The sequence below is a fragment of the Homo sapiens genome, chromosome 22, assembly GCF_000001405.40.
Source record: "Homo sapiens chromosome 22, GRCh38.p14 Primary Assembly".
Classification (NCBI taxonomy): domain Eukaryota; kingdom Metazoa; phylum Chordata; class Mammalia; order Primates; family Hominidae; genus Homo; species Homo sapiens.
Genome location: NC_000022.11, coordinates 28,397,689 through 28,412,149, shown reverse-complemented (window position 1 = coordinate 28,412,149; position 14,461 = coordinate 28,397,689). Strand labels below are relative to the sequence as shown.

The 14,461-nt window shown below is 38.4% G+C and overlaps 1 protein-coding gene across 11 annotated transcripts in view, besides 1 other annotated feature; it reads left to right on the top strand.

The window, feature by feature from the left end:
• Positions 1-14,461, top strand: part of TTC28 (tetratricopeptide repeat domain 28) — a 701,827-nt gene that overhangs the window by 267,691 nt on the left and 419,675 nt on the right. The window lies entirely within an intron of this gene.
• Positions 2,224-2,724: an enhancer, noted in NCBI's record as "H3K27ac hESC enhancer chr22:28805414-28805914 (GRCh37/hg19 assembly coordinates)". NCBI's record gives its function as "activates a minimal SCP1, AML or CMV promoter by ChIP-STARR-seq in naive and primed H9 embryonic stem cells {active_cell/tissue: H9 hESC(naive and primed)}" and the evidence as "EXISTENCE:reporter gene assay evidence [ECO:0000049][PMID:30033119]".

The window sequence follows — 14,461 nt, the reverse complement described above, 5'->3', positions numbered from 1 at the left end:
GTGTCCTTTAGCAAGGCATATATTTGGAGAACCTGTGTAATCCCAGCTTCCTTCACCAACTAAAACAGGGGATAAGCCTCAGTGACGTGTCAACCCACTTATAGAACTTGCCTTACTATTCTTTGTTCATTACTTCTAGTGACCATAGTATTTTTATTACATTGAAATTGTAATACTTTAAAGTATTTGAATATTTTGAAATAACATTGATGTAGGGTTTTTATTTTAGGCAACCAGCAGGGTATAGAACTTCTGGAGAGCAGGATCCTCGAACCTGTATGTTATGATTCTGTTGGCTAGATCTCAGAATGGCAACAAGGAATTTTTGGTTTTGGTTGTTTCTCATATCTCTTGTAAGGAAAACTTGAATAATTCAGGTAGTACATTTGTTTCTCCTTATACACTGCTAGGTATATAGTGGTTGGAACTATTCTTCTTAAGGCACTATTTTCACTGCCTATGCAACCACAGAGATCATCAATAGTAAAAGCTATTAAACTGACATTGTAACTGTTGCTGTGAAACCAGTACTTTCCTGCAGGCATTATTTCATCCTGTGCCTTTTTGGAAAGGATGTAGTTCTCATTTAGTTGTCAGGGAACATGGTATTATCTTGTAAGCATTGCTTTCTGATGAATTTTTTCAGATCTTCTTTGCAGAACCTCTTTCTGAGTTTCTCAGGAAGGATAAGAACGTTCTTCTGAATCAGAATTCTTTTCCAAGACTACATATTAAGAATGGACTCTTGGAATAAGCTTTCTTTTAGATCTCTAGATGTGATAAACATGGCTATTCTGTGAGTAGGAATGCCTTTTCATAAGAGTTGAACAACTCTGTAGTTGCTTTTCTTGGCATCAGATAGCTAGGATCTCCAAGTGTTTCTGTTATTCACTCTGAAAGCTGGACTTGACAAATTTTTGAAGGCGACAAAACATTACAAAGATGCACTGCTTTAATCTAAAACCTATTAGAAGAATTCGTTCTGGGGTATCGATTTTTTAAAAAATAATACCTACTGAACAGGTGTTCATTAGAATATAAAAACTTTGCCTGTTTAGCAAGAGAACTTAGTCCATCTATTTCTTACACAAACTTGAAAATAAAGGAATTGAATAAAAATGAAGTCTTTTTTTCATTTTCAAATTACCATTTTAGAAATAGTTGTTCAGTTTATCTTTGTGTTTTGTTTTGTTTTAATTTCATCCAAGGTAAGAATTATTAATGAAAAATATTGTATATTGAACTTTACATCATTAAAGATGGAATTCTTTTCTTTAGAAAAGGTTGAAAAATAGAGTTCTGCCTTATAAATTCATGTTATTTGCTAGTTCAGTAAATTACTATTTTTTTCTATTTCTAGGCATTTTATCTTTTCATCCTCACAAATGTATTCTAAATTCATCATTTAAATATCTTTCTGATTGTAATCTTGCTGAATACCAGTTTTGTTTTCCTTATATTGCTTTAGTCTCTCTTGGGCTCCTTTCAACCTACTTGGCTATTCCCCCTTTTTGAATGACCTCATTCTTTCTGAATCCCACACATCTTCTGTTGATTACTAAGGTCTGTGCTTAGGATTCACAGTTTCCTCTTCTCTCTCACACGAATACAATCTATGTTCCTTTTCACAATGAAATATTTGCTACAGTTCCATAACTTATTTTTATTCATTATTTAGCATGTTTCTGATAAAGCCTAAGTAATTTTAAGATGAATATAGATAAACAAGAATATGTTCACAATAGTCACCAAGGCCAACAGAGTGGATGAGAGAGGTGATTTTAAATTATTTAAAATGAGGAATGACAGAGGGAAATGCCTATGTTTAGTAAGAAGAAGAGGAATATAATAACTTCCTCAAGTCATTGAAAGATTATCATATGGAAGAGGAATTAGCTTTGTTCTGCATTGTCTTAAAAGATAGCACAGGCCAGGCATTATGACTCACACCTGTAATCCCAGCACTTTGAGAAGCCGAGGTGGGCAGATCACTTGAGGTCAGGAGTTTTAGACCAGTCTGGCCAACATGGTGAAACCCCATCTCTACAAAAAATACAAAAATCAACCGGTTGTGATGGTACATGCCTGCAGTCCCAGCTACTCAGCAGGCTGAGGCAGGAGAATCGCTTGAACCCAGGAGGTGGAGATTGCAGTGAACTGAGATCGTGCTGCTGCACTCCAGCCTGGGTGATAGAGCGAGACTCTGTCTCAAAAAAAAAAACACTTAGCACTTTGGCAGGCTGAGATGGGCGGATCATGAGGTCAAGAGATCGAGACCATCCTGGCCAACATGGTGAAGCCCCATCTCTAGCAAAAATCCAAAAAATTAGCTGGGCATGGTGCTGTGCGCCTGTAGTCCCAGCTACTCGGGAGGCTGGGGCAGGAGAATTGCTTGAGCCCGGGAGGCGGAGGTTGCGCTGAGCCAAGATCTTGCCACTGCAATGCAGTGGTGACAGAGCGAGACTCCATCTCAAAAAAAAAAAAAAGAAAAAGAAAAAGCACAAAGGTTAATTTTATGGCATATGAATTATATATACACATATGTATGTTTCCATATATGTTTTTTATATATGTTATATATAACATATAAACACATATAACATATGTATATATAATATATATTAACGTGTGTACATTTTTTAAAGTGGTACAAGGAGCAGGTGATGGAAATGACAGAAACTTGTTTTGGCTTATTTGTTTTATTTAAGAAGAACTTTCAAAGAGTTAGAATGGTCTCAGGATATGATGCTTTGCTGATGGAAGTTGTGATTTTCTGTTAATAGACATAGTCAGCTCTGGATTGTAGGGCTACTGTTGATGGGATTTTGGCATCAAATAAGAGATTGAATTAGATGACTGCTGGGTTGAATTTCTTTGTCTCTGAAAGATGCACTTCTCTCGGCTCTTTAATAATATGAGTCAGTAAACAATAGACATGATTATGAGAGTGATCTCTTTTTTAGTTTTAAGAACTGTAGTATTTAAGAATTGTTATTTTTCTTCTCATGATTATCACTAATTTTTCACAGCAGGAAAAGGGCAGAGTGAAACTCCCACATTTTGAAGGTGGATATTGTATAACATTACAAGGAGGACAAGGAAGCAACGAAAAGAGTCATAAATTGCAGCTGGAAGCTTGGAACTGATTCCTCTATGCTGCAGTAGCTCAGAAGAGATTCAGCCTTAAGTTTAGTGAATAATGAAACATGATCTGAAGAAATTCTATGCAAGATATACTGTTGCCTAGTTCTTAAGTGACTCTGAGTAACTGTACCATCTGTCCTACATGAGAAGTAGCTCACTTTGTTCACCTTCTCTTTCAGATGTGGTAGTTCAAGACTCATTCGAAGAGCTCATTTTAATTGCAGGTTACTTTCCAACACATGTTGGTGGCCTGTAGTCATTGTAAGTCATCTGTAGAAAAGCACTGGCTTAAGATTGAGTTTTAAAATGTAAGTTGGGGCCGGATGCAGTGGCTTACGCCTGTAATCCCAGCACTTTGGGAGGCCGACGCAGGTGGATCATGAGGTCAGGAGTTCAAGACCAGCCTGACAAACATGTTGAAACCCTGTCTCTACTAAAAATACAAAAATTAGCCGGGTGTGGTGGCAGGTACCTGTAATCTCAGCTACTCGGGAGGCTGAGGCAGGAGAATTGCTTGAACCTGCGCAGCAGAGGTTGCAGTGAGCCAAGATCACGCCACTGCACTCCAGCCTGGGTGACAGAGTGAGACTCTGTCTAAAAAAAAAAAAATGAAAGTTGGGACTTTTTCATCATAGTGTTTTCTAATTGTGTTTATTATGAAGTGAAACATTACTTTGAGAATTATATGAAATCTTCTGGGTGGAACAGACTTTAGAAGACACATGGTTCAATCTCCGTGTTCTTCCCGAGGAACTAAAACAACTCATTGAGGAATGGGATTGGAAAGTTGTGTATTTGCCACATAAAATAGTGATGTTTTAGAAACGTTATTTATTGTTTTTTTTTCAGTCCTGTGCAACTCTTAGGAAGTCGGCTTCCTAGTATCTTATTAATTAAGTCTACTCTATAAAAATGTGTTTATAAAAAAGGAGAAAACAGAAAGCTGAATGCACAGTTACTAGTCCCATAATGTAACCCAAATATAAGAGAAATTACTAAAATATAAGAGAGGTTACGAAGAAGTTATAAACAATTTTTTCCAGAATATTGTCATTCTAAGAGTTAATTGATATCCTGTGGCCTTAGAAAGGATGTTGACTATATGACATTCGATTTAATTCCTTGAGTTGTATACTTGGCATAATGCCAGATCCAATAGAATGGCCCCTTTGATCATTATGTTCCAATAGAAGTGGTTGGCCATGTAAGAACTAGAAAAATAGGGGAGATAAGAATTTGTCAGCGAGTGATTCTATCCCTGTATTCATTATATGCGCAAGTCACAAAGCCCATAATACTGCAAAAATACCTAGACTAAATGTTATTGTCACTTGTAACAACTGTAATGTTTTTCTTTCTTATAAAATAAGATTAGTGCTCTGACAAATTTAATCAGGCAGTGAAGCAATTAAGTGGATTACTAAGCCATACCTACTTTGACTCTCAGCTGTATAGAAAATCAAGACAATCTGTGTAATCTAAACACTAAAACCTTTTATAAGGCATTACTGTGTGTGTGTGTGTGTGTGTGTGCGCACGCATGTGTGTGTATATGTGTATGTGTAACAATTCTTCCATATTCCCGAACCTGGGAACCTGGGCATACTGGACAAGCATGTTGGGGAAAGGCCTTTGTTCAGTAGAGCCTTGGAGAAACGTCAGACACAAAAATACCATAAGCCTTGGAAGTTAGTATTGCTGTGCTTGTGTTTGCTTTTCTTCTCCTGCTTTCTCCAGAATTATCTTTGTCTCGGTCTAGGAAAAGACTAGACAGGTTGGAAGGGAACTCTTATTTATTTTCTCCCTAATTAGGTTAAAATAAGTCAGAATAAATAAATGTCCACTATTGTGTCCCCGCTTTTTTTAACTTGTTTGCTGTCCATAGGCAGTTGGAGACTTACCTTCTAAGAAGTACCAAGAGAATATAACTTATCCAGTTGTCAAAACATAAAATTTATTCCTTTTATAATTACTGCTTTTCAACACATCTTGATCTTGCTTCAGGCAGGCCACATACCTCTTTAAGACAGGTTAGAATTTCTAGGGTGTGTGCCTCCTCAGAGGGCCAAAATTGGTCCAGTAAAGTTTTTTGTAAATTTGTTAATAGCCTTTCCAAAATTTTAAAGCTTTTCCATGAATTAACAATAAACTGAAAACAAAATCATTTCCCAGAGGAAGTAAAGCATAGAGAGGAACTCCATATGAGTCCTGATTCTTGTCTAAGAGGAGGGTCTGTTAAAGGGCGAGCACAGACTCACCCAGGTTAACCAGAAGACTAGGATTAGACCTTGGACTTCTGATGTTCTCATTAGGTGTTTTTAAATTTTGAAATTTAGAGACTTGTTTCTGAAATAAAGCATTTTCCCCAATTTTTAGGTGTTTACTAGTGCCAGACTTCAAACTTTTAATGTAACAGATGTTATCAAAGTTTATGATTATCTTTCTATGTGTCCCTAGGATTGTTTTGCTGAATCCCAGTAGAAAATGCATCTCTAGGCCCACCAGGCTGTTCCTCCGCTACACAGCAGGGCCAGGCTCTTCCCCATCTGTCTCAAGCATAGATTTCAGCCTGAAATTTGGGAAAACATTTGCCGTGTTAAGTCATTAACAACTGTTTCAAAACAGTCTAATTTCTAACAGTTGGTGCATGTGGAGATACCTAATTAAAATAATTCTAGTCTCGTTAATAAGATAAGTGTGTGTTCTAGTTACTGTGGGATTATTGCTATCAAATACAAAGGGCATAAGGCTTAGCTGAGTGAATTATGCTTGTATTTTATTCCCTTCACTAATTCATTGTAATTTAAGAGTTAAATCTTTGTGTTTTTTCCTTATATTTTCATTTCAGTGAATGGAAGAGGTAACTGGAGAGATGTAATAGACAGGAATACTAAGAACAAGATGCAGTGCAGGCGAGCCCCAAAATTGGGGCTTAGCGCAGGAGGGTTCTTGGCTTCACCCAGGAAAGAATTCAAGGGGGAATTGGTGGTGTTAGACAGCAACTTTTATTGAAGTGACAGTGTATAGCAGCAGCAGAGGTACTGTTCTTTGTGGAGCAGGGCTAACCTATAGGCAGTGTGCCTAAAGCAGTAGCTCAGGAACAGTTCTGCAGTCATATTTATACCCACTTTTAATTACATGCAAATGAAGTGGTGTATTCAGAAATTTCTAGAAAGGGGGTGGTAACTTCTGGGTATTACCATGGCAATGGTAAACTGTCATGGTGCTGGTGGGTGTATCTTATGGAGTGGTGCTTTCAGCACCTCTTCCCTGTTTCAGCCAGTCTTTAGTCTGGTCCAGAGTTGAGTCCTGCCCCTTACCTCAGAGAGACATAGTACCTGTAAATTCCATGGGAAATTTAGCTTCCCAGAGAAATTCACAGAAATTGAAATTCTACTACACAGTAAAATTGTTAGCCTCTTGTCTGACCTACTCACCATTACTATCTTTTCCATGAGTCCCTCAGTTGAAATGGATCTCTTCTTCCTCTGTACTTCAAGAGTGCTTTACTGTATCCTTTTTGTGGTAGGTCATGCTTTCTACCTTCTGCTATAGCTATTTGTATATGCACATTTATAAATGCTTCTCCTTGAAGGAAGGCTCTGTGACCACCCTTTTGTCTCCACTGGGCCCATTGCAATCATTTGCACATTGTGGTTTGCTCAGGAATATTTGTTGAGTGAATGACAAATAGAAATAACACTTTACCATAGATTTTAATATTTTTAATGCAATCATAATCATAGTCTTAAAAAGGAACTTAGAGATTATTTTTAGGTATATAGGATGTTTTAATTTTTTAAATCTCAAAAACATTGTCAAAATCATTTAAAAAAACCTTCTGCATGATGAATTGTGTATGAGTAAAAACTGACATATGATCCTTTTAGCAGAATGAACATGATCTTACAGACTGAATACCAAGTAAATTGAGCCTTCTTCAAGAAAACCCTGTGTGAAGATAGAATTCTTTATTAATTGCTCCGAGCTGTCAATAAAATCTCTTGTCTCAACAACACACACTATTAAATAGTGAACCAATGGGCAAACAGGAAAAATACCATGCATTTCAGGAAGTATTAGAAAGTAACATAATCAAGCCCTGCTGCCATCAGTCATTGGTCATTCCCAGCCCCGTATGACTCAAAACAATTTTCTGCTGTCTCCCACCTTTTCTGGCCCTTGGTGGTGATCATTATCATCCTCACTTCTCCAAACTTCATCTCCCTTAAAACTCTGCCCTTCTGAGATATATAAAATGAACAGTTGAGACTTTGACACCTAATGGTGAAGCCATTGTTAATGCTTCTAGTAATAAGTTGTCATAGAGGTACATCTGAGAAGATAGTGAGAAAATCAGGGGTGAGTGGAAAAGCGGTGATAGAAAGAATGATAGAGAGAGGGAAGAAACTGGAGGTTAAGTCCTGGGATGCAGGCCATGAGTGAGAAGCAGGAGAGGAGGGAATCAGATGGGCTGACACATAGGCAGGTGCTTGGAGAGGATAACAAGTGTGTGTAGAACAGTGGTCCACATCTACCAACAACACCGTTTGCTTTTTGTGTGTATATCTTAAAAAATAACACATATAGGCCGGGCGCGGTGTCTCACGCCAGTAACCCAGCACTTTGGGAGGCCGAGGCGGGCGGATCATGAGGTCAGGAGATCGAGACCATCCTGGCTAACAAGGTGAAACCCCATCTCTATTAAAAATACAAAAATTAGCCGGGCGTAGTGGTGGGCACCTGTAGTCCCAGCTACTCGGGAGGCTGAGGCAGGAGAATGGTGTGAACCAGGGAGGCAGAGCTTGCAATGAGCCGAGATGGTGCCACTGCACTCCAACCTGGGCAACAGAGCAAGACTCTGTCTCACAAAAAACAAACAAACAAACAAAAAACATATATTCTAGTTAAAAATTTTTAAATTAATATTTAGGATGTCTTTTTGTTAGTAGCTATGTGTCATTTGCCTCTGGAGCCTGCCATTTGAGAAAAGAGATCAAAAGCCAAGCCAAAGCCACATGATGATGGAGGCTTGTTACCTAAGCTTTTTGGGCAGATGTTTCTTTACTTAAAAAAAGTCTGTCTTCCCTAATTGCATTTCCAACACTGACTGACCTCCTTAGCCCTATGGTGTAAATAGCTGTAGAGATTGTTTTTATGAGGAAATGAGACCCATGACTGCTTTGAACAATACAAAACTGTTTACCTTTGATGGCAAGAAACCGAGTAAAACCTGTCTAATACTCTCCTATAGCCTCTCACACCCTTGTTATACGTGAAGCAGACAAAATGGGCATTTGCGAGACAGGATACTATCATTTACAGTTAAAGAGTCATCTTTGATGGGCTGCCAGGTATGTTGGAAGTTGAAGGCATCGATTTAATGTTTCTCCTGAAGCACTTGGGTAAGGGAGCTGAAGGAAAAGCAAAATGAGCCTTCATGGAGACATCAGGCTAAGGGTGGTATCTGTATAGAGGACCTAAAACAGAAGGTAACATGAATAAATGTTAGCAAAACTTTGACTTTAGATCCTGGCGTCATATTTAAACAAGGGTGCAGGGCAATTGTTCATTTTATGAGTTGAACTGTCACTATGGAATCCACCTGCCCATTCTCTAAGCCACATCTTCTTCTGGACATCAGTATTATTAATATTCTGAGGAGGAAAACGGCTTTATTCATAACGGAATCATCTGTGATGAAGACAAAATGTTTTGGACCAATCGTTTTTCCATGTGTCAGCCTTGTAGATAGTCGTGTTGGGTCTCTAGCGCTGGTTACAATAGACTATTGGCCAATAGCAAAGACTGGTGATCATGTTCTGTATTCCCTCTATAAGTCTGGCAAGAGTTGGTTGAGGTAAACTTTTGTTTACTTCTCCTGGTTTGCTTAATTAACAGATTAAGCCCAGTAAGGAGATACAAAAGCACAACATCTTTAGCTTTTGAGATTGGCTACTTCCGTAGGTTAAATTACCTTCTGGGGACTGGGAGATTGTATAGAAGTTAGATAGGCCTCTTGCTGATTTCTGACCCAAGAGTAATTAGACTTATAATAAAAAAGACATCTTAAATCTTGCTGGTAAGAGCATGATTGGAAATGAAACTTTTGAAATTCGTTTCTAGTTTCACAGATGGAGTTAAACAGAGGCATAGACTTACTGGAGAAAAGTTGTCAACGCTAATGATAGCAACAGTTACCATTTACTGAGTGTGTCCTGTGTGCAAAGCCTACGCTGCTTTACATTTTAACAGTACTGTGAGAGTTTTAGAATGACTGTTTGAGAGCGGAAGAAACTGAGTCTTAAGAGTGGGTCAGTAACTTGCCGAGAATCACAGAATTACTACATAGTGATCTGAGGTTTGAAACTGGATCTGTCTGACATAGATGTGCTGCTCAGTTCTATACTTGGATACTTTAAAATGAGAAATAATTACAGATAGGCCTAAAAAAAAGTAGGGCCTAAAAATTTTAAGGTATAGAAGTCCAGAAAGCCCTTGTTATCAAAGATCACAAACCAATGACACGTAATGATCAATGTGAATTAAGAAGTGAGTTACTTAACTAACTCTCTGGGGGTGATTTTAGGTAAAGAAAAGTGTTAATAGGTCTTATTTATTGCATGTGCCACCACAGGACTTTTAGTGAACTGACATTCTATGCTTTATAAAATAACAGTGCTTGTAAGCCCTGTGTCTCCTGTTACCACTTTAGGCATTATTCACTGTGGACACCAGGAGCTTGTTTTTCCGTGTCATCCATCTGCCACTGCTACTGGAAACGTGTTCTCCTAGGCCTACCATGCCAAAGTTTTCTCTGACAAGCTCACATAAAATGGTGGTATTGTATTTGCTATTACTATTCTACCATTTCTGGGATTAAAGAGAAGACTTCAGTCTTCAGTGCATCAGCCTTTACTGATAGATGTATTCTTTGGGAGTACATATTTAAGTGTAATTAGTGCTGAAGTCAGACTTTAAATTTGGACCAAGGGTAGGGGAACTTGACCAGTAAACAGATGGGAGGGAGAGCTTGGGTTTTATCTAAGAAAAGGGTCAATTTAAAAATCCTGTGTCTGAAACATAGCAGTTGTGAATTAAATGCATGGAACTTTTTCTAACAAGTTAATATTTAGGTCTGGCATCATCAATCAGTAAATTAATTGATTATGTCTATGCTCTCCTGTGAGCCTAGTGGTTAATTTTTAATTTTTCTATTTAAAAATTTTTTTTGTAGAGATGGGGTCTCGCTTTTGTTGCCTAGGCTGGTCTGGCTTGAAGGAATCCTCTGGCCTGAAGCAATCATCTTGTCTCAGTCTCCCAAAGTACTCGGATTACAGATGCAGGCCACTGTGCCTGACCTGGTTTAGTTTTTTATTTTGTTTTATTTTTTGAGACAGTCTTGCTCTGTTGCCCATGCTGGAGTACAGTGGTGCGATCTCAGCTCACTGCAACTTCCACCTCCTGGGTTCAAGTGATTTTTCGCCTCAGCCTCCTGAGTAGCTGGAATTACAGGCAGGCACCACCAGGTCTGGCTAATTTTTGTATTTTTAGTAGAGATGGGGTTTCACCATGTTGGCCAGGCTGGTCTCAAACTCCTGACTTCAGATGATCCGCCCACGTCGGTCTCCCAAAGTGCTGGGATTACAGGCATGAGCCACCGTGCCTGGCCCTGGTTTAGTTTTTTAATGAATGTGTCTTTATCAAGAGACTTTAGCCCACTGAAAATAGTTCAGCTGGAAGAAGTTAGTAGTTGTCGTCGTCGTCGTCGTCATCGTCGTCGTCATCGTCATCGTCATCCTCCTCCTCCTCCCCCCCTCCTTTTCCTTCTCCTCCTCTTCCTTTTCCTCTTTCTCCTCCTTCTCCTTCTTAGACTTCTCCTTTTTAGACTATAAACAACTCTGTACCATCTTTCTTATCATACTTCCCTGATTTCCATTTTTCTGGCCTTTACTACTCCTATCTTCTTTCTCAACTCAAATATGAATAAGAATTAAAGAAGCTAAAACATCAACTTAAAATAAGAATAGAATTTGTGCCTTTTTAGTATTCAGTGAATATATATTTGTATATTTTAAAAAATGTTTGAATCTAAGAGTTGAAGAAATTAGATTGGACTCTTGTTGGATTTCTTATGTGTACTTGTTTAGAATATAAAAGACTAAAATAATAATACTAGAAATGCATTAAAAAGTGGCCTGGAGAATTGGCACTATTGCTGTTACCATCTGGGCTATCCTAAATATTTTAGCCAATATTTACATATTAAGTCACAAAATTCATATATATCTCAATCAGTTTGAACAATATGGCCTCTAACTTGAAGGTTCTGTTTTCTTCCAGATTGGGAAAAGGCTCCTTACAAACTTAAAGGATTTTGTTTTGCTTTAAGTTTTGTATGTGTGGGATAAGGAGACATTTCCAAGTGCAGGATGATGGTATCACTGCTGCTACTGTTGCCACTGCTACTACTACCACTACTATATAGAACTATATGTGCACTGGGTCTTTCCTGCCCTTAATACCCCATCTTCTTTCTCAATTCAAATATAAACAAGAATTAAATAAGCTAAAAGATTAATTTAAAATAAGAATAGAATATGTGCCTTTTCAAAGCTTGGTGAATATGTATTTGTATCTTTTTAAAAAGGAAGAGTCCTGGCACTCTTTGAAATGCTGAGCAGGACTGGAGCCGTACACACTGGCAAAGGGAAGAAGACAGATCATACCTGGCACGGCAGACAGAGCTTTAAGTAAAAATTGGTTGATGATGGTTATAGGTTTGGTATAAATTTGAACATACCAGCTGGAGTCCATCTTGAATAACCGAATTTCATCTAGGAGTTAGACAAGATGAAAAGTTACTGAAATGGAAAGGTGAAGATTGTTGACTTTGGAAATCAGATTGCAGAAGTATGTAGAATGAAATATTTTGTTGAAAATGCATATATAAAAATATGTGTATTTGGGATGGGGGAAAAGACTAGTAGGATATACATACAGTGCTGATCTTTCTGGACGATGGGAATATGAAGTGTTTTAAGATTTTTTGCTCATCTGTATTCTCTAATTTTCTACAGTGTGCATATTTCTGTTATTATTATGGAAGGCTGTTTTAAAAATTGCCTGTTGAAGATGAATATCTGGTGAATTCTCCTCTTGGTTGTAGATGAGGATGGCTTATCAGATTGTTGTGAGGCTAGGTGAGGCAAGGCAAGGGATGGAGTGCTTTGAAGGATAATATATGGACCAATAATACAGTGATTTTGGTAATATGAAACAACAAGAATTAAAAACTTATTATCTTTGAACTGATAGTATTTAAGATAAATTTATCAGTTTGTGTGATTATAGAAATTTACTTTTCTAGTTATGTTTTAGGCTGATAATACAAGTTTCTAGGCTGGGCGTAGTGGCTGACACCTGTAATCCCAGCACTTTGGGGGGCCAAGGTGAAGTACTACTTGAGCCCAGGAGTTTGAGAACAGCCCAGGCACCTCGTTTCTACTGAAAAAAAACTAGCCAGGTATGGTGGTGCATGCCTGTAGTCCCATCTACTTGGGAGGCTGAGATGGGAGGGAGGATTACTTGAGCCTGGGAGGTCAAGACTGCAACGAGCTATGACTGTGCCACTGCACTCCAGCCTATGTGACAGAGCAAGCCTGTCTCAAAAAAAAAAAAAAAAAAACAGTTTTAGTCTCAACTTATACAAACATTGTACTTGATAGGGCTCAGAAATGAGCTGGGTAGCTGGAGTATACAGGCAGGGATTTAAATTTTACAGAGATAATGCGGGGTTCATGGTATTAAGAGTTTGGCAGCAATCCCCAGAAGTTAAGAAATTTCAAACAAAGGCTGACAGGAGACAGTTGGCTGGAGAATGAAAAAGTCTGGTAGAGTTGAAGTATATCATATATTAGGATCAACACCATTGCAATGAATGTTCATTGCCAGATCACTACAGTTAGAAATGTAAAAAAAAAAAAAAAAGGCAAAATAACTCCCCAAACAACTGTTTTGATTTCTGTAGTCCATGTTTAAGTTTAAAAACACATATATCTGAACCAGTTATTGTAGTCCTGTTATTTTAAATTGAAGTAACAAGAAGGATATAGAAGTGATAAACTGGAAATTAGAAAGAAGATTAATGGTAAAAGATTGGCAATACTCACTTGATAGGTCATGTTTACCTTGAGAAAAATATTATTATGAAGCTATACCTTATTTGGGGGGTAGGTTCCAAAGTTAGCATATAAAGTGAAAAATGAAATAGTCAAAATTACCTTGAAAAATCCATTTAGAAATTCCATATTAGAGATCAATAAATTCAACACAGCAGGCACAGCAGGCTTTTTCTGCAGCATTATAACAAAGCACCATTTATTTGGTTGAGCCCTAGATATACTTGGCTTGCATTTAGGGGCCATGATGTTTAGAGATGAATAATGCCTTACATGCTGGAGTCACCCTCAGTTTGTCAAAGTGTTCACACTGTGAGAGGCTCACAGAAATGGAGGCTGACTGAAGGAAGAGCAGATTCACATCTTTCATCCCTTCTTTATGCTCATGCTTCTAATTTTTGTTCCCATGTTTTCTTGCCCCTCCTCTTCTTAGCATTTATTTTGTCTGTTTCTCTTTCCCCTCTTCTGGCTCCCTCTCCATCTCTCCTGAGCACAGAAATGCGGCTACTGTATTTAATCCACAGTGGCCCCCTCTGGCCCCCTCTTTGTGTCTCCTGAGCACAGGCCCTGGCCCCCTCTCCATCTCTCCTGACCACAGAAGTGGGGCTGCTGTAACCACTTGGGCTCCATAGTTCTCAGGATGACAGTTTCAGGCACTTAACCAGATCCTCTTTGATTTGGAATGGGGCGGGGACCAGTGTTCTAGCCTGACCAGGTTTATACTGCAACTTACAGTACCTATGTTTCAGGAGTCAGTCTGGGGGCAACATGTGTCACCTTGAAGATTAGATCTGAACTAGGCTCTTGGGGGATCCAGCCTGATCTGGTGCCTATAAAATGTTCAGACCTGATTAATAAATTCTGAGTATATATGGGATTCTAGGGCTTACTATGCGGCTACTGGAGACTTGGGATACACCCAGGGATCCTGGACTCAAAGCCCTCTGGAGTGTTGAAGAATTCCTTTCCAAAGTGAAATTCATATGATCTGGATTTCCTTTGTACATCTGGGGCTGTATTTTGTAGGAGAAAGAACATAGAATGCGGGATCAAAAACTTGATTTTATACTACCATGTATTAGCTCTATGTTCTTAAGTCAGTGTTTCTTAGCTTTTCATGTTTGTGGCACATTTTC